General features: G+C 44.1%; 2 protein-coding genes across 5 annotated transcripts in view, besides 5 other annotated features; one reads left to right on the top strand and one right to left on the bottom strand.

Annotated features, from left to right (window-relative positions):
* Positions 1–1,823, bottom strand: part of KLHL42 (kelch like family member 42) — a 22,808-nt gene extending 20,985 nt beyond the window's left edge. For all 3 annotated transcript variants that reach the window (XR_931315.4, XM_017019698.3, NM_020782.2), the window contains exon 1: positions 854–1,823. Coding sequence is in view for 2 of the 3 variants with exons in the window: in XM_017019698.3 (XP_016875187.1) it covers positions 854–1,725 (872 nt within the window). In the remaining variant the exon portion in view is untranslated. The remainder of the gene's footprint in view (positions 1–853) is intronic.
* Positions 1,307–1,806: an enhancer, noted in NCBI's record as "H3K27ac hESC enhancer chr12:27933183-27933682 (GRCh37/hg19 assembly coordinates)". NCBI's record gives its function as "activates a minimal SCP1, AML or CMV promoter by ChIP-STARR-seq in naive H9 embryonic stem cells {active_cell/tissue: H9 hESC(naive)}" and the evidence as "EXISTENCE:reporter gene assay evidence [ECO:0000049][PMID:30033119]".
* Positions 1,307–1,981: a biological region, named in NCBI's record as "H3K27ac hESC enhancer GRCh37_chr12:27933183-27933682".
* Positions 1,672–1,981: a silencer, noted in NCBI's record as "silent region_4314". NCBI's record gives its function as "represses an Ori minimal core promoter by ATAC-STARR-seq in GM12878 lymphoblastoid cells {active_cell/tissue: GM12878}" and the evidence as "EXISTENCE:reporter gene assay evidence [ECO:0000049][PMID:35858748]".
* Positions 1,820–19,629, top strand: MANSC4 (MANSC domain containing 4). 2 transcript variants are annotated; one of them, NM_001146221.5, is made up of 4 exons: positions 1,820–1,846; positions 10,474–11,008; positions 15,257–15,391; positions 18,660–19,629. In NM_001146221.5, exons 2-4 carry the CDS (start codon positions 10,780–10,782, stop codon positions 19,316–19,318), a joined length of 1,023 nt encoding a protein of 340 aa, NP_001139693.1. In that variant the 5' UTR covers positions 1,820–1,846; positions 10,474–10,779; the 3' UTR covers positions 19,319–19,629. The 2 variants fall into 2 exon arrangements, with proteins under 2 accessions (NP_001139693.1, XP_011518844.1); XM_011520542.3 differs by lacking the exon at positions 1,820–1,846 and having other exon boundaries at positions 9,329–10,794; positions 10,872–11,008.
* Positions 2,002–2,221: a silencer, noted in NCBI's record as "silent region_4313". NCBI's record gives its function as "represses an Ori minimal core promoter by ATAC-STARR-seq in GM12878 lymphoblastoid cells {active_cell/tissue: GM12878}" and the evidence as "EXISTENCE:reporter gene assay evidence [ECO:0000049][PMID:35858748]".
* Positions 4,654–4,854: a silencer, noted in NCBI's record as "peak1632 fragment used in MPRA reporter construct". NCBI's record gives its function as "represses an SCP1 promoter by STARR-seq MPRAs in K562 erythroleukemia cells {active_cell/tissue: K562}" and the evidence as "EXISTENCE:reporter gene assay evidence [ECO:0000049][PMID:32103011]".

The raw sequence follows: 19,629 nt of genomic DNA, 5'->3' as shown, positions 1-19,629 counted from the left end.
CTGCTTCTGAATGACGCTGAGGCCTCCTAGGCGCTACCATCTTTATTTCCTACCATCTCTTCCTGTATATGCTCTTTGCTCTTGTTTTGATATTCCTTCCCTGGTTCCTTTCCCTTCTCCCCTCTCATCCCACTCCTCAAGCTCCTCCTCTTCCTTTCTTCAAGTCACCCTTGTTGGAGGCAGGAGAGATTTGCAGGATGGGAGGGGGAGAAGGTTGCGTAAATGAAAATATTCCAATTCTGTAGTTGAACACTTCCAGGCTCAAGCTGTGGGTCATGACGATGGCTGTCCAGGGAAGGAAGCAAAAGAGAGGATAAAAAATAAGAAAAGCAACCCCTATTGCAAACGTTAATACATTTCCAGTGATTATCTCTTGATCATGATGGGTATCACAGTGTGGAAGACTCTGTTGTCACAGTCACTGACATCAGAAAAAAATCCCCCAAAGTCAGTGTTACAGGTTACTGTCCAGTGTATCATTATCATCAGGATCAAATCCTAAAAACTAAGACAAATTTTTTAAAAATTAAGGGGCAATTTTCTTTTAAAGTATTCTTGTAGGAAACCACAACATCTTTTTTCACAAGAACAGAGGCAAAGAAAGCAGTTTCACCTAAAGGCACAATACCTGCCAAAAAACCACTCCACTTCTTGACCTCACTGGGGACGTCCTCTTCGCAATTTCTTAGTTCATTGGGAATTTTGCCAGCGCCAAGGCCAACAACATTCCTGAAGATGTCATTTCCACCACAGCACACCCTCCCCTATTTACTGGCTCAGTAAACACTGGGGTAATGAACTAATGAACAAGTGAATGAATGAGAAGGCAGCAGCACTCTGCCGGGGTGCTTACCTCTTCTGGTTCATGGAGGCCACCTGGAGCCACTCGTTGGTGCTGGGGTTGTAGGAATGCGCAGCGGAGATCTCCTGGCTAGTGATCCTGTACCCGCCCACTATGAAGAGGTAGTTGTCCAGGATGGCAGACCCATAGCCCCTGACATTGACCAGGTCGGGAGGAAGGTTGTTGGCCAGCGGGAACCAACGCTCAGTCATCTCCTCGTACCTGAGCATGGACGGGGGCTCCCCCTGGTAGGGGTGAGGGGCCAGGGGTCCCCCCAGGAAGTCCCCGAGGGCCACGAGGACAGGAGTCCCAGTCATCCGGGCCTCCCTCAGCCTCTGCTTCAGGCTGACATCCCCTGGAGCTTGGGGAGGAGACCCCAGGAGGTGGAACTGGGGCTTGCACAGCACCTCGTGGAAGTGGACGACCATGAAGCGCAGGCAGGCCTCCTGCAGGTCGGGCAGCCCGTACACCTGCGCCAGGCGGTACATCTCCAGGCAGTTATTGAGCCGCACCTGGGACAGCAGCAGCTGCAGCAGGGACGTGACCTGCAGGAAGGAGGCCGCCTCCACCAGCTCGGACAGCAGGCTCACCTCATCCATCTCCTCGTCCTCGTCCACCCCGCCGCCCTTTTCCCCGCGCGGGCCCAGGAGCCAGCCTTCGCGGGCCCCGCCGGCGTTGATGAAGTCCAGCACCAGCCGCAGGCCCGGCGCGCTGAGGCCGCGCAGCTGCTGCACCTCCGGGCCGCCGGCCTCCTGGCTCAGGGCCTCGCGCATGCCGGAGCGGTAGAGGGCGCGGAAGTAGTCGCTCTGCTCGATGAGCTTCCTCTTGCTCACCGGGTAGCAGCGGTCCTCCAGGCGGATCTGCACCATCTCCTCGGCCGACATGGCTGGGGGCCCCGGGGCGGCAGCGCTCACCGCCAGATCTGCGCGCCGGCCTCCCAGCCCCTACGCGCGCGCCGGTTCCGGGCGGGGCGCCGAGGGATGGCGGCCCGGGAGGAGCGGCGAGGTGAGGGCCGCCCGCGCTCGCCCGGCCTCTCCGGCGGCCCCTCCTCCCGGGGCCCGCTCCCGCGAGGCGGCGGCCCTGCCCTTCTCCTTTCCCTCAGCGCCAAAAAAGGGCCGGCGGAGCGCGGCGGGCGTCCTCGCGCGGGCTCTCCCGGGCGGCGCCAGGCGGGAAGGGAATTCCAGCTCCCAGCCAGCAGCCTCCTCCCCCGCCGCCCTTCTCACTTCCGCCCGCGGGACCCCAGCCGCCGGCCTGACCTGCCGGCTGGATCCGGCTCTCGGGGAGGCCCGGGAAGCTGCGGGCCCGGGCGCCTCGGCTGCGGACGCGCAGCTGCGGGAGGCGGAGGGCGCGCGTCCCCGCAGCCTCTCCGCCCGCCCGGGGCGCGCCGGCTCCGCCGCTTGTTGGGGGCTGCAGTGATGCTCCGGGGTACCCCAGGGAGAAGAAATTCGTTTTCTCTCCCACGCTGCTTTACACGGGCTAAAGAAAAAGAAATGAGCGTGGGAGGAAAGGGAAGGATGGAGTCTCTGGTCCAGGGAGACAAAAAGGCATCAAATATGGGGTCGTCCTTCTGGCCCAGTCCGGCATCGAGTGTCAGTGGGCTGAGGCACGCAGGCGATCTATGGACAGTTGGTGGCAATGTTGGTGGCACGTAGAGCTGATTCTCTGGTAGCGTGGTCGCGTAGGAGCCATCTTACAGGAGGTCCAGGCAGATGGCAGCAGGTTCTCAGAGGAATCGGGTTGGGAGGCAGGGGAGCTTGCATTTGCCACTGGGGCCCCTTATTCTCCCTAAGTTATTAAAAGAAAGATGAAAGCGCAGCCCGACTAAATAAAGTTACATCACGTGGCTTCTGGTTTTAAACCATGTTTTCTATGAGCCATTGCTTTTCTACTTCAGTCCAGTCCATTACGGAATGTTATCCTGGCGCAAAAGATCTGACAAAATTGGCTCATAAATGTCTGCAAGAAGTAGCTTTTCTTGTCACCCCCTTTCTCCACCTACCCTGCCCCCATCATCTGAGGACTATTAAGAGAGACCACACGTGCGGTTTGGCTGAGCGCGGTGGCTCACGCCTGTAATCCCATGACTTTGGGAAGCCCAGGTGGGCAGATCACGAGGTCAGGAGTTCGAGAGCACCATGGCCAACATGGTGAAACCCCGTCTCTACTAAAAATACAAAAATTAGCCGGGCGTGGTGGCACGCGCCTGTGATCCCAGCTACTCGGGAGGCTGAGGCAGGAGAATTGCTGGAACCCGGGAGGCGGAGGTTGCAGTGAGCCGAGATCGCGCCACTGCACTCCAGCCTGGGCGACAGAGCGAGACGCCGTCTCGGAAAAGAGAGACCACTTGTTTCCTATGTTCTCTCACTGAACATTGCAATTAGAAGGCCCACCCCAAATAATAATAGGAAGGACTTTTTGTCTTGCTAATGAATTCATCCCAGGAAGGGGGTGGGGGGAGAAATATATTGTTTGGATTATCTTTGGGTAGGAGAAGGGAGAAGGATTGGGAGGAAGCAGAGGGTGTGTTCACTCTTATCTTACAAAACAAAAACAGAAAACCTTGAAAACTTACCCCAAACCAAGATTTGAGAACCACCTATGATAAACAGTCCTTAACTTGGAGAGAATATGTGTTTGGTTTTTTTTTTTATTATTACAAGCTTCAGCTTTCTTCTTGAATGACAGATTGTTAAATAATATCTTCTTCATAAGTACATTTCCCCTATTTAAAGAAGATACATCCTACCATGCTAACATTTTACCTTAGGAAGGAGAAAGGGTTAAAAACCAGAGAACTAAAAGAAAGTCAAAGGTGAAACATGAGATCCTTTCAACATAGTTTGGTTACATTTGTGGTTCTTACTACGAAATTTATCTGCTTCACAGAGAGGTGTTGTTGTCATCTTTTACTTTGTTTATTATTATTACTTGGGAAAGGAGGTTTATCTTTTTATTTTTTAGAAAAAAAAATGCATTTTTTTTTTTTTTTGAGACAGAGTTTCCCTCTTGTTGCCCAGGCTGGAGTGCAATGCTGCGATCTCAGCTTTCTGCAACCTCCACCTCCCGGGTTCAAGTGATTCTCCTGCCTCAGCCTCCGGAGTAGCTGGGATTCCAGGCATGAGCCACCACACCCGGCTAATTTTGTATTTTTAGTAGAGACGGGGTTTCACCATGTTGGTCAGGCTGGTCTGGAACTCCCGACCTCACGTGATCCACCCACCTCGGCCTCCCAAAGTGCTGGGATTACAGGCATGAGCCTCCATGCCCAGCAAAAAAAAATGCATTTTTTTTTTCCATAGAGATAGGGTCTTGCTACCTTGCCCAAGACAGACCTCAAACTCCTGGCCCCAAGGGATCCTGCCACCCCAAGTGATCCTGCTGCCTTGGTCTCTCAAAGCACTACTGTGCCTGGCCTATTTTCTTTATAATAATGCTAGGAATAAGGAACTAAAAAATAAAAGACATAGAAAATGTTCTAGTAGATTCTGGCCTCCCTGGAAAAAAATGAAGGAAATAAAAATGGATCTATGACTTACTCAGTTGTTTTCTTGGATTCTATAAAAAACATTCATCTCTTCACCTTGTTTCACCTGGCCTTTAAATCGTTACTGATAAAACTCCATTTTCACATCAACCCTTCACACTTCCATTCTCTATGAGGGTGCAGTGAGACACGATAAGCTTTGGAGCAGGAGGTGGAGTGAGTGATCAAGCATTTAGCAGCTTCTTTGGGATGGTAGAGTGTAACATCCAGTATTAAGCATCAGGCTGGGGAATTTTGCTGGGATGCGTCCCCTGTATCAAAGAGACTTGGACCTACGATTTTTCTATGCCTCAACCGGCAACAATGCCAGATTCAGTGGGTCAGCCACAAAGAACAGGCTCTCAGTCTCTCCTCTGTCTCTTGAATCTTTCACCAATGGATGCTTTTGTTTCCCAGCCGTCATAGATATGCCTCAGACTGGTATTTTCTTGCCTTTTTAAAACAGACCAAAAAAATCATGCTCAAAGAATGATGTGCATTAGAAAGGCAATTCAAGCACAGTAACATTATCAGGGTAAGATGAGGTTGGACAGGGAGTCTGGGGTATTAGTCTCACAATACTGGGCATTGATCTTGTGAGTTTTTTTGGCTCCCAATATGATAATAACATTATTTAGGATTGGGAGCATCTTAAATGATCAAATCATTTTAATAAATTATGCAGTAAGTTTTCTGTTAAGCTAGAAATGCAAAGTCAGAGCAATATAAACTCCTTTATTTTAAAAAGACCTAAAATTATTCCTAGTCTTCCTGAAAATATTGCTTTATATAACTGGAGGTATAATTTTATAGATCTGTTATTGACTGATCATTGAATAATAAAAACCAGTTTTGTGGTACTATCTGTAAAACAGTTTTACAGAAGCGTAATGGTCAAATAGAGTTAGGTAATTTTTATTTTTTATTTTTTATTTTTTTAGACAGGGTCTCACTCTGCCATTCAGGCTGGAGTGTGGTGGCACTATTATGGCTCAATGAAGCCTCCCAGGTTCAAGTGCTCCTCCCAGAGGCCTCCCAGGTTCAAGTGCTCCTCCCACCTCAGCCTCCCAAGTAGCTGAGAATACAGGCCTGCGCCACTATGCCCGGTTAATTCTTACATTTTCTGTGGGGACGGGGTTTCACCATGTTGCCCAGGCTGGTCTTGAACTCCTGGGCGCAAGTGATGCTCCCTCCTCAGCCTCCCAGAGTGCTGGGATTACAGGTATGAGCCACCACACCCAGCTGAAGTAGGTCATTTTTTAAAGAACTTATGGAAAATATCCCTTTTGAAATAGCAAGTAGAAAAAAAAATCTTAGTACAAGATGTTTATCACAGTATTGCTTTTAATAACAAAAAATTGGAAAACAACATAATGTATAATAATAGTAGCTAATATGTATTGAGTGTTTAGCATGTGCCAGGCACTGTTGTAAGTGCTTTACATGGATTACAGTACTGTTTTTATATTTTACAGCTGAGGAAGCTGAAGTGCAGAGTAAATTTTGGTATGGTAGAATGAAATACCAAGGAGCCATTAGAAGTTTTTGTGTAGATCTTTCTTTAGGATCACTGAAAAATATACTTTTTTTTTTTTTTTTTTTTGAGACAGTCTCGCTCTTGTTGCCCAGGCTGGAGTGCAGTGGTGTGATCTCAGCTCACTACAACCTCAGCCTCCTGGGTTCAAGCCATTCTCCTGTCTCAGCCTCCCAAGTAGCTGGGATTACAGGTGTCTGCCACCACGCCTGGCTAATTTTTGTATTTTTAGTAGAAACGGGTTTTCACCATGTTGGCCAGGCTGGTCTTCAACTCCCAACTTCAGGTAATCCGCCCACCTCAGCCTCCCAAAGTGCTGGGATTACAGGCGTGAGCCACCACGCCTGGCTGAAAAATATACTTTTACATAAAGTTTAAAAAAAAAAAACAGATTTTGGAACAGCATATATGATTCCCTTTATGTAAACCTATATACTGTAAAATAAAATTTATAGGAGGCCAGTGCAGTGACCGATTCCTGTAATCCCAGCACTTTGGGAGGCCAGGGCGGGAGGATTGCACAAGCCAGGAGTTTGAGGCCAGCCTGGGCAACATAGTGAGACCTTGTCTCTACAAAAAAATTTAAAAATAAATAAAATGTATAGACCATTGGTTTGTTTAGTATTTATTTGAGACAGGGTCTTGCTCTGTTGCCTAAGTTGGAGTGCAGTGGCACAACCACAGTTCACTGCAGCCTCAACCTCATGGGCCCCACCTCAACCGGCTAATTTTTTAAAATTTTGTAGAGACAGGCTCTCCCTATGTTTTCCAGGCTGATATCAAAACTCCTGGGCTCAAAGCAATTCTCCCTCTTCGACCTTAGAAAGTGTTGGGATTATAGGTGTGAGCCACCGCACCAGCCAAGACCATTGGTTTGAACTGAGCTCCTGCACTAGCCCCAACAGATGAAACCAAAATGGAGTTACTCATGGTGATGTTCCATGATGCCACCAAGCCAGAACCAAGATCTGTATCTGATCTTTGAAAAAATCAGGAGAGAGATAATAACCAAATCCCCAGACAGGCCGCTTTTAACCAGTATGATAAGGCAGTGCCCTCTGCTTTAACCTTTACAAGGAAAGTAATCTTATTTATTTATTTATTTATTTATTTATTTATTTATTTATTTATTTTGAGACGGAATCTCGCTCTGTCGCCCAGGCTGGAGTGCAGTGGCGCGATCTCAGCTCACTGCAAGCTCCGCCTCCCAGGTTCACTCCATTCTCCTGCCTCAGCCTCCCGAGTAGCTGGGACTACAGGCACCTGCCACCACACCCAGCTAATTTTTTTGTATTTTTAGTAGACACGGGGTTTCACCATGTTAGCCAGCATGGTCTCGATCTCCTGACCTCGTGATCTGCCCGCCTCAGCCTCCCAAAGTGCTGGGATTACAGGCGTGAGCCACCGTGCCCAGCCCCTGCTTTTTATTTTCTATTTCTGCTTTCCTCAGCTCTTTTCCATCAACAAAGCCACCTCCTCTGCTCAGTTTATTGGATTTTATAGAATGAGGTGTTGCCCTATTCTGGAATCACAAATAAAAGCCAATTAAGGTCTTTAAACTAAATTTGTTGTAATTTTGTATTTTGACGTTCATATGTTTTTTTAAATAACAATATCCAGAAAGATGTTTATTAAGATGGTAAGTGCTTGAATAGTTTCTCTTTTTGTATTTTTCTATATGATTTGAATTATTAAAGTGAACATATGTTGATTTAATAGAAGCAAAAACATTTTTAAAGAAAAAACATTTAAGTTTTTCAGGTACCATTTTTTAAAAAATAATTTTTATTAATTTTATCAGCAAATGAAATGGAAACTCTCAAAAAATAAATAAATAATTAATTAAAGGTGAAATATTGACTGCTTTCCAAATGTCTTGAATTTACTAAAGCTATGCTATTACTTCACTACTATTTAAAAATTATTTCTCTTTGTTTTTTCAGTTCCTCAATATTCCTAAAACAACTTTATTTCTGGGGTTTTTTTTTTGTTTTGTTTTTTGGTTTTTTTGAGACAGAGCCTTGCTGTGTCTCCCAGGCTGGGGTGCAGTGGTGCAATCTCGTCTCACTGCAACCTCTGCTGCCCAGGTTCAAGTGATTTTCTTGCCTCAACCTCCCGAGTAGCTGGGATTACAGCCGTGTGCCACCACACCCAGCTAATTTTTGTATTTTTAGTAGAGATGAGGTTTCACCATATTGGCCACATTTGTCTCAAACTCCTGACCTCTAGTGATCCGCCCATCTCAGCCTCCCAAAGTGCTGGGATTACAGGCGTGAGCCACCATGCCTGGCCTATTCCTGTTTTTTAACAAGCAAAACTGAAGTATCTTCCTTTCATCAAAGCTTATGGAGTGATTTAAATGAGATAAAAGTAGTATATGGTCTTTAAATGGTTCTAGTTAACTAGGTTGAGCATCGTTGTTTAGGTAAAAGTTCCATTTATTTCGCTCATCTATCTATATCAGTGTTTCCCAAACATCTTAGGAAATCACCTGGGACTCTTGTAAAAATAAGAATGTCACTCTCCACTCAACAGCTACTGAATCAGGCTGTCGTGACTTTTAAAGTACAAATCACATTTGTGAACCCCTCTGCAGAGCAAGAGCACCCTATTGGAAAGAAATATAATGTATTCCACATTGCAACAGTGTAGTGGTTCTGGGTATTTGATAACAAGGCCTTATAACAAGTTTTGATTCAGTTGCATTGCTTCCTGGTTTCTGCAGTTTCAGCACACAGGGACAAGTTTTGAGATTGTTATGGATGCCTCCCTCTACCTCTGCATTCCAGTTTCTACCATTTCTTTTTAAAACACTTGGCCCCAAGAAGTTATCCATTTCCAGACAATGCAATCTCCAGAAAAAGTTTTACAAAATTTAAAGCATGCTTTTACATTGAGACTTGTAGATCCCTTTTTTGTTTGTTTGTTTTTTGTTTCTTAATAGCACCAGCCCCTGCAGGGCTTTAGTTAGTTAGTAAGTAGAGACCCTGTCTCCCTGTGTTGCCCAGGCTGGTCTCGAACTCCTAGGCTCAAGCAGTCCTCCTGCCTCAGCCTCCCACAGTGCTGGGATTATAGGCATTAGCCACCCCGCCTGGCCAAGACTTCTAGGTCCTTTAAAATGAAACTTTGATCTTTATTTAAATATAATCTGACAGCAAAAGGGTTAAACAATTGTGGCTTGTTCCATTATCCCTGAAAGGAATACGAGAACTTCAAAGAATTATATAGCACACAAAAGAACCTATACTTAATATGACTCAAAGACTTGAAGATTATAAGATTAGAGAGTAGACCTTCCTGTTTATGTCTCGAGGGCATTTTCTAAGAGAAATAGCCATGGAATCTCATAAAATATCGAGAGTAATTTTTTGTTACTCATCCTTTCCCTTCCTTCCTTTGCCATTATAAAACCTCTCTTCCCTATCCCTTCAAACAGATGGAAATGTCTGAGTCTTTGCAGGTGAGCAACTGAAATTTGCTTTCTGTAAGAAGTTCAATAGAATGAAATATTTATCATTTTGTGTATTCTATGTGGCTTAGGCAAGGTTAGGAGTTAGTGCATAATATAATTTTTGCTCAGAAGAAAATGAAGTGTTTCATATTTAAAGCTATTCAGTCTTAACTACTTTCCTTTTCATTATCAATTATTATCATGTTTCTAAAAATAAAAAGATATGTAATAACTAGATTGACTATTATTAGGAAACAGTTGAAGAGATGAACGTTCAAAGAATGCTGATGATTTTTGTGTCAAGAAGGTGAATGAGTCATTGTATAAAAAGGTATAAAAGAAATACGGATCACAGATTAGAAAGTTTCTCTTTTTTTAGAAGAAACAGTAGAGTGCTTTGTGCCAAAAGCTGATTATCACTAATGCTTCATATAAAATTGGATACAAAAAAGCAACAGTTTTATGCTTTGAGCTAATTTGTCACCTTGGATGTCACAGGATATGAAACCCACAACTTTCACAAAAGCAACAGTCCATTTTCACTGCCTTTTCAAATGTTTGGGCATTGCAATTGAAATGATTTTATTACTATTTAGAAATTTAAAAAGATTTCACCATTTTCCTAGTGTTTTTTGTTTGTTTGTTTGTTTGGTTTGATTTTTCTGGGACAGGGTCTCGCTCTGTCACCCAGGCTGGAGTGCAGTAGTGTCATCTCAGCTGACTGCAACCTCTACCTCCCAGGCTCAAGCAGTCTCCCACCTCAGCCTCCCAAAGTGTTGAGATTACAGGTGTGAGCCACTGTGCCTGGCCAAGGTTTTTTTTTTAAGTAAGAATGAAAACCCAAACCAGTGCAAAAAAATTATTTTTGGTGAACCTGAATGCCAGAACTTAAGTTCAAAGAAATCGAGATGATTTTTTAAAAAACAATCTGCAATCACAAGTTCTTTAAAAATCAAACAGAAGTGCCCTCACAAAATCATGTCTTGTTTATGATGAAATGGATACTTCCTTTATCTGATGTCAAGTGACTAACTTGTTGTTTCCCTCAGAAAGCCTCTTGACTAAGGTTTCCACTTGCCTTTATATTTACTTAGCAAAAGGTGTCTGTGACTATTCACTTTCAGAGAAAGAAGAAAAGCAGAAAAGAGAATGCACGTCTTAAGATGCTAAGGGACAGGGTATTGAAATAGCCTGGAAAGTGTTCAGAAAGAATGCCAGCAAATCAAATGTTCACCTGGAGCTCGGGAAGAAAAGAAAAATCAATGTGCAAAGAGTGGTCTTATTTTGCTAGAAAGTGACTCTCCAGAAAAGCTGCAAGGAAGCTCTCCCTTAACAACACCTCTGACGTTCCAGAGACTGTCCTAAACTCCAGTGTTCAGCTTCTGTCTGGAAATCAGACTTATCTTCGAGTCTTCCTTCATACAGGAAAAATGCATGTGGCAGAGGTAGCAGTGAACGTGATATTGCTCCTAAGCATGGGGTGGACATCAGACTCTCTCTGCTCACCCACAATTTTTTACAGAGACTGCTGGATCCGTCGCTTCCCAGGTCTTCTAATCAATCTGGAGGAGTCTCAGAAGCTGGGAGCCCAGTTCTTGAAGTATTATTCTGAAAGCACTGGCCAGAAGTGCAGTAGGAGCTGCTGTCTTCGGAAGGATGGTAAGTATTCATGATATGCTTGGGCAAAAATAAGAAGAAACTTCCAAGGATGAAGCCCTAAGTGAGGAGCCTTAGGCAGAGGCCAGTAAACAGTTGTAAAGAACTAGAGAAGATGCCCTAGGGTGTGGGAGAGAGAGGGAGAGGTAAGAGAGCCAGTGAAACTGATTTCACAGTCTGGGCCACAGCAGGCTCTATTTACAGATCTAATAATGACCCAGAATTTGATAGCACCTACAGGAAACAGAATCCTCTTTTCTTCACCAAAATGCTAAATGAAAGTATTTCCCCTAAGGTTAATTTACAATATTTTTACAGCTCAAAATATACATGATTTTAAAAATATTTATTTATTTCTCATTTTATTTTAAATTTTTAGAGACAGGGTCTCACTATGTTGCCCGGGCTGGTCTCGAACTCCTGGACTCAGGTGATCCTCCTGCCTCAGCCTCCCAAAGTGCTGGGATTACAGATGTGAACCACTGCACCCAGTCAAATATTTATTATAATTTCCCTTTCAAAGTACATTTTGTGATATTAGTATCATATCAAATTTTTTTTAATGTGCTGGGCCAGGTGCGGTGGCTAATGCCTGTAATCTCAGAATTTTGGGAGGCCGAGGTGGGTGGATCACTCGAGGTCAGGAGTTGGAGACCAACCTGGCCAACATGGTGAAACCCCCTCTCTACTAAAAATACAAAAATTAGCCAGGGGTGGTGGCAGGCGCCTGTAATCCCAGCTACGCGGGGGGCTGAGTTTGGAGAATCGCTTGAACCCAGGAGGCAGAGGTTGCAGTGAGCCGAGATCGCACCAGTGCACTCAAGCCTGGGCAACAGAGTGAGACTGACTCTCTCTCTCTCTCTCTCACACACAAACACACACAACTAAACTAAAATGTGCTGACTTGGGTTTACCAAATGTGGAATGTATTAAAAAACAATTTAGAGTGCGATTCATGTTTTGAAAGAAACAGGGAGATATATGTCAAATACCCGCCCCAAAATCATATTTCCAAATATTCCTCATAGATGTTTTGTCTGTCACATGGAATCTGCGTGTAGACTTCATCCATATAATATGATCAAGACCTGCAATTAAGAATGTTTATTTTATTATTGCAGGATTTCAAGTTATAATTGCCTAAAGACTTCTTTCATTTCTTTTTCATTTTTCCAAGATTTTAATGCTACTTGAAAATAAACAGCAAAAGCAACACAGCACTTTAAAATAATTCCCTTGGTTGTTCTACACTTTCTTTCCATGGTTTCATATCAACTTGTTAATTTCCAATGCCTCTTGCCCAATTACCTATGTAAGATTTTTGTGTATGTAAGATTATGTATGTAAGATTTTTGAGATGAAAATTGGAGCTACAATAATTAATTTAATAAGAGGAAATCTTTTTGAAAAGATAGCCAATCTGGATTTCCACCTTCCAGATGCTTTTAACTCCCGTAAGTCCTCACTGAGGGGAGATAGCGGAGGGGCAGGACGCTTTCTTGAATTTTCCCGTAGCATGAATTTACCTGACTCCACAGCAGAGAAGCTCTGGCCTTTGGACTGTCGGGGATACTGTAAGCGTATAGGGCAATCCCATGATTTTAAAGCCCGTGTAACTTCCCAGTTGTGGCTTTCTTCCTTCAGAACAAGAAAGAACAGGAAGGCACATTCCAGTTTTTAGCTGGAAGCCATAACTTTAAAATGCCACAATCCTGCTCAGAGCTGGGATGCCAAAACGTATACAAGGAATGTAAAACATGTTTCAAAATTGTCCTCTGCAGAATCAACTACTTTCTCATCAGAAATTTAAAAGTCTTAAGTTTGAATAGTTTTTCTTTCCCTTAAACTTTACAGCACAGTTCTCAGGGAATGTGTTTGTAATGTGTAATGTATTAGCAATGTATTATTAACTAATTTTTGTCTTATTCTTTCTCCTGGAAAAATAGAGTGCGGCAACATGAGGATGTCCTAGAAGTAATGATGGAGATTAACTCCTCACAGTTCACCTTACACAGCAGCAGTACAGGCTCTGCTAGCAGCAGATCCACAGCTTTAGGCATGCTTTGAGGTCTGGTAACCGGATGCTGGCCCTCTGTAATCTTATTTTATTAAAGAAGTTGATACCTTGGAGGGTAGCTCATGCCTGTAATCCCATCACTTTGGGAGGCCGAGGCAGGCAGATCACTCGAGGTTAGGAGTTGGAGACCAGCCTGGACAACATGGTGAAATCCATCTCCACTAAAAATACAAAAATTAACCAGGCATGGTAGTGCACACCTGTAATCCCAGCTACTCAGGAGGCTAAGTAAGGCAGGAGAATCGCTTGAACCCAGGAGGCGGAAGTTGCATTGAGCCAAGATTGTGCCACTTCACTCCAGTCTGGGTGACTGAAAAAAAAAAAAAAAAAAAAGTCGGTACCTTTTGGCCAATGGATATTTCATATCACATGGTCTCTACTGCACTGCAGCAGAAGTAGAATCTATGTTGCACTTTTGTGAGGATAGACTGAAGATTTGCATTACACAAATCTGCTTCAGGTTTTCCAGAACTAAGGAAACTTTTTTCTTTTTAAGTCTTCTCTTCCTCTGTCAGAGAACTATTTTCTTTTTCTTTTTCTTTTTCTTTTTCTTTTTTTTTTTTTTTTTTTTGAGACAGAGTCTTATCCTGTTGCCCAGGCTGGAGTGCAGTGGCATGATCTCAGCTCACTGCAACCTCTGCCTCCTGGGTTCAAGTGATTCTCGTGCCTCAGCCTCCTGAGTAGCTGGGATTACAGATGCGTGCCACCATGCCCAGCCAATTTTTGTATTTTTTTTTTAGTAGAGACGACGTTTCGCCATGTTGGCCGGGCTGGTCTCGAACTCCTGACCTCAAGTGATCCGCCACCTTGGCCTCCCAAAGTACTAGGATTACAGGTGTGAGCCACTGCGCCTGGCCAGAGAACATGTTTTAAAAAGCAAATTTGCTTAGAAAAGGAAAGACAGCATGAGCCAATAGTGTGTCCCCACCTGCTAGAATTCTACCTGCTAGCATCCCTGCCTGTCCAGTCCCTGCCTCTTTAAATGACACTGATTAGGCTTTCCCTTGGATGTGATTTTGCATGTGGGGAGAGTGCACACCTGCAGTCTAGGCAAGGTGATGCTCACACAGCCTGTGGCCTTTCCACCATCTGGGCCGCTCAGTTATTACTCTTTTGCCCTTCCCACTACTCCCTCTTCTTCTTTACAGCATTTGTCCGTGTATTTTCCTATTTCTTTCTCTGGTGACCCCCAGCCCCTTAGTATTCTGAGAGGACACTGTGCCTAGAAACCTGATATATAAATCCCCAGGGTTTTGTTGTTGTTGTTGTTGTTGTTGAGACGGAGTTTCGCTCTTGTTGCCCAGTCTGGAGTGCAATGGCGTGATCTTGGCTCACTGTAACCTCCTGGGTTTAAGCGATTCTCCTGCCTCAGCCTCTCGAGTAGCTGGGATTACAGGAATGCGCCACCACGCCTGGCTAATTTTGTATTTTTAGTAGACACGGGGTTTCTCCATGTTGGTCAGGCTGGTCTGGAACTCCCGACCTCAGGTGATCTGCCCCCCTCGGCCTCCCATAGCGGTGGGGTTACGGGAATGAGCCACCACGCCGGGCCCCCAGAGGTTTTTGTAGCTAATCTAACTTTTCATGAACACAAAATTCTGGGACCAGGAAATAATGAATGATTCCAAATATCCTGTGTGGGATGGAAAGTATGAAAGATTACTTTGAGAAAATCAGTATTTTATTTTAAAAAGGCATTTTCTGGCTGGGTGTGGTGGCTCCTCCCTGTAATTCCAGCTTTGGGGGAGGCAGATTGCTTGAGCTCTGGAGTTTGAGACCAGCCTGGGCAACATGGTGAAACCCTGCCTCTACAAAAAAATACAAAAATTAGCCCAGCATGGTGATGCGTGCCTCTAGTCCCAGCTATTTGGGAGACTGAGGTGGAAGGATTGCTTGGACCCGGGAGGTCTAGGCTGCAGTGAGCTGTAATCGCACCACTGCACTCCAGCCTGAGTGACAGAGCAAGACCCTGTCTCAAAAAATAAAAAAAAGTATTTTCCATATTCACAGAAGCAGTTACAATAGTTTATAAACATTCTGCAAAATGTCTGCATATTGCCCTGAAAAATACTGTTAATCCAGTATTCCTGAAACAAATCTAAGTTACTCAGAGTTCATGAAATTGGTGCAAATTGAGACCATCTGCAGATGTACTTCGCTTGTTTCCCTTTCAGTTTCCTGTAACCTGGCTGTCTTCTACCACAGTCCTATTCATGACAATATCAACTGCCTCCATGTTCACTGCCCAACACTGGAGAGCTGCATATTAGAGCCTGGAACCAGTGCCATTTTGTACAACATAACAGACGGTAATGATTACATATTTCAAGACTTTAAAAGAATGCTGGCGATATTCTAGTAGAGGCATATAGCTGAGAAACTGGCTGGCAATAGCCATATGTGAGTCCCTAAAATAATTATTTTCCAGTGAACTTGGGAAAAATTTTGGATATCTAGGACAGAAAACTGAAAGAAAATTCTCTTTAGTTTGATGTGTTCAGCAAAGAGTTCACTCCAGATTATAAATCATACATGATTGAACAAGAGCTTACCCACTGTATTTCATGAATCTCAAGAACTCTTAGCAAAGCCAAAGGAAGCATTTCTCGGCCAGGCGCGGTGGCTCATGCCTGTAATCCCAGCACTTTGGGAGGCCAAGGTGGGCAGATCACAAGGTCAAGAGATCGAGAACATCCTGGCCAACATGGTGAAACCCTGTCTCTACCAAAAATACAAAAATTAGCTGTGCGTGGTGGCGCACACCTGTAGTCCCAGCTACTCAGGAGGCTGAGGCAGGAGAATCGCTTGAACCTGGGAGGCGGAGATTGCAGTGAGCCGAGATCACGCCACTGCACTCCAGCATGGTGACAGAGCAAGAATCTGCCTCAAAAAAAAAAAAAGGTCCTGTGGTGGCTGAGGGGCCACTAGGAGATAAAGAAAATGCTAAATGGAAGTTTTGAGGGCCATGGACACTGCACACAGGATTTGGAAAAGAGGGATGTCAGGTTCAGGGAAACTTACCACCATGTGCTGACATACATTAGCATATCATTGGTCCCAAGATAACCAGTGTATTTTATTTTAGAAATATAAGTGTTTCGTGCCCATTTATGTAATCTCAGGGTGTAAATTAGTGACCATAAAAGAACAGATTTTTGCCATCAAAATGCAAAGGAGATAAATTTCTTTATCAGTTTGTATGTATTGAACACCTGATGCTCCAGGCTAGAATCAACACTGTGGAAGATCGCAGCCATATCTCTGCTCTCAATTTCCTTTATAATCTAGATGATGTGACAAATCTTACAATTATTGTTAAGACACAACTAAATACAAAAATATGTGAAGCTGCCTCAGTGCAAAGTTTCAAAGGGGAGGCTAGTGAAAGTCAGCGTATTCAGAGGAGGTTCATGGAAGAAGGCAGGCAGAAGAAGATAATGAGTTCTATATTATGCCACAGGAGAGTAAGCAAACAGATCTGGCCACAATAAGGAGACATGTAGTTGCAATGAAAATATGGCTAAGATAAGGTAGGGACAGGTATCGTAAGGGCCATGGACAGAGTAGAGTTTTGATTTGACTTTGTCAGAAACAGAGAACAAGGGCATTTAATGAAAAAACATGTGAAGTGATATCTATTTGTCCTAGTCCAGGAAAATTATATGCAGGTACAGATTAGAAAATCTAGTCAGGGAAGCATTAAAGTCTGCACAAAGTGACTGTAGTTGAAATGAAGAGAAGGGATAATTACCAGAGCATTGGGAAGATTGAATAAGGACTTCATCACCTTTTTAATAAAAGGAAATGAAGTGAGTGGAGTCAAAAATCACTTTGCAAGCCCGAGTGCAGTGGCTCACGCCTGTAATTCCAGCACTTTGAGAGGCTGAGGCAGGAGGATCACTTGAGCCCAGGAGTTTGAGACCAACCTGAACAACACAGAGAGACCCCCATCTCTACAAAAAAAATTAGCCAGGCAAGGTGGTGTGTGCCTGTGGTTGGTCCCAGGTACTCATGAGGCTGAGGTGGGAGGATCACTTGAGCCCAGGAGTTCAAGGTTACAGTTAGTTATGATTGCACTATCACACTCCAGCCTGAGTAACAGCTGTCTCTTAAAAAAAAATCACCTTACAGTGTAGATTTCAGTGTGGGTGATGGAAGAATGATGATGCCAATGAAGGAGAGAAGGAGGCAGAGGTAATGATTTTGGCTTTGGGCATATTAAGAGATGATGTAAGAGGTCCAGATGGAAACCTCCAATAGAAGACTGGATAAATGAGATCAGAGCTCAAGAAAGAGGGGAAAACATACTGATATGGGTTTCAATACCATTGATGTAGTGGTGCCAATTGAGCACAATCTCTTTGTATGTGTTGGAGGGGAGGGGGCAGTGAAGAGAAAATACAGCTGAAAACCAAGGACTGAAGATTATGGAAACCACACAACCAGTGAGATTGTACAAGAGAACCAGCAAAAGAAAGTAAAAATGAGAGGCAGGCAGTCTGGGAGAAAATGCCAAGGGGGTCCGGGGTCCGGGAAGTCATGGAAGAAGAATTCAAGAAGGTGGCCGGCAGCATCAAGGACAAGAGAGAAGCCAAAGCAAGGTGACGTGAGTGATCAGGAAGTAAGGAAACAATTGACTACCTCAGAAGCAACGGATGCTGGCATGTTTGCGCAGAGAGAAAGAGAGAGAGAGAGATCACCAGCAGGGACCATTGGAAAGCTGTTGAGAGTTTTTTCTCTTCTCCTATAAAGACAAAGCAGTATTTGTTCATGTCTGAAGTTAGAGGGAAAGGAGTTAGTATACAAGGGAGAAAATACTAAAGACAAAGCAAGACCCTCAGAGGTCGAAAAGGGATGAGGCGTAAGGCTTTGCTCATGATTTTGCTTATAGTCACTCTTCTCAGGCCCTATTTTGCTTAACTTGATTTAAAGATGCTATATTGCTGGGTGCAGTGGCTCCTGCCTATAACCCCAGCACTTTGGTAGGCCGAGGCGGGCGGATCGCTTGAGCTCACAAGTTTGGGACCAGCCTGGGCAACATGACAAAACTCCATCTCTACAAAAAAAATACAAAAATTAGCTGGGCGTGGTGGCGCACACCTGTAATCCCAGCTACTCAGGAGACTGAGGTGAGAGGATTGTTTGAACCTGGGAGGCAGAGGCTGCAGTGAGCTGAGACCATACCACTGCACTCCAGCCTGGGTGATAGGGCAAGACCCTGTCTCAAAAAATAAATAAATAAATAATAAACGCTATATTGTGTCTCAAATCGTTACTGTTTCTACAGCTCTCAAAGTAACACTCGCTATTGTACAAAAACCCTGACAGACACAAAGCCTTCTCCTTGGGTGTAGTCAAATTTGTTCATTAAAAAAAAAAGTGTTTTAGAAAGTTAAGATAAATTCAAATGTAGCCAGTATGTTTGGAAGCCTTTGAGAAGTATGTGGTAGTAGAACGTGAATTTAGCTTCGTTCGATAACTCATAGCGGCAAAAGCCAACCCCTTCTCCAAACTGTGCTTTAGGGTTTTTGCTTTGAAAGTAAAAATAAAATGAATGATGCCTTATTTATTTTTCAGGTATAGATCCGGATTTGCTGGTTTTTGAACAATCTCCCACATATCTAAATACTCGTTCTTCATCCAATAGATGGGACAGACTAAGGATTCTAAAAGCTATGAATTTAGATAAACAAACCACCACGATAAATGGTATGCTGCCATCCACAGAGGCTCCATCCTCAACCACGCATCAAGATTTGGTTGTAAACACAAACAGTACCAGTTATTCTAAGGAATTAACCACAGATTTTTGGGCAAGATTTACTTCCCTGAATGAGTCCATTACCACAAAGATAAATAAGGTGTCACCAAGTACTGATTTCATCAGCAATCCAGATAATAAGACTATTTCTCCTTTCTTTGAACCCATAGACACAAAACTTTCTCATATGCCTGTTCCACCTGGACTCAACAGTAGCAAACAATTACTAAACAAAACCAAAGGATACAATAGCAGAAACCACACATCTGCAAATGAAGATGAGGTATCTGTGACTTCAAAGACTTGGCTGGTTTCTGTGGCCCTTTGCACCTCTGTCATCTTTCTCGGCTGTTGTATAGTCATCCTGGCATCTGGATGCTGTGGAAAGCAGCAGGGCCAGTATAAACCAGGACAGAGAAAATCAGGATCCTTGCAAATTAAAAACCGTAACCATATGAAGGAGAACTCTTCATAGTAAAAACTGTAGCAAGATTATATGCTTTCAAGGATATCATTTTTAGTTTTGTGTAAGAAAACGCAGTTTGGTTAAAAAAAAAAAATAGGCTGGGCGTGGTGGTTCATGCCTGTAATCCCAAAACTTTGGGAAGCCAAGGCAGTAGATTTGCTTGAGCCCAGGAGTTCGAGACCAGCCTGGGCAACATAGTGAGACTCTGTCTCTATAAAATGAAAAATAATTTAAAAAAAGCACATGGGGCGATATGATGCACCTGTGGTCCCAGCTACTTAGGAGGCTGAGGTGGGAGGACTGCTTGAGCCCAGGAGGTC

The sequence above is a fragment of the Homo sapiens genome, chromosome 12 (assembly GCF_000001405.40).
Source record: "Homo sapiens chromosome 12, GRCh38.p14 Primary Assembly".
Classification (NCBI taxonomy): domain Eukaryota; kingdom Metazoa; phylum Chordata; class Mammalia; order Primates; family Hominidae; genus Homo; species Homo sapiens.
This window is presented reverse-complemented; position numbering and strand designations above follow the sequence as displayed.

What these genes read in the sequence shown, in the direction of transcription:
- MANSC4 (NM_001146221.5), top strand. Translation starts at nt 10,780, where the DNA reads ATGCATGTGGCAGAGGTAGCAGTGAACGTGATATTGCTCCTAAGCATG. An exon ending in CTGCTGTCTTCGGAAGGATG is followed by an intron (nt 11,009 to 15,256) that starts GTAAGTATTCAT and finishes TTTCCCTTTCAG; the next exon opens with TTTCCTGTAACCTGGCTGTC. An exon ending in TTTGTACAACATAACAGACG is followed by an intron (nt 15,392 to 18,659) that starts GTAATGATTACA and finishes TTTATTTTTCAG; the next exon opens with GTATAGATCCGGATTTGCTG.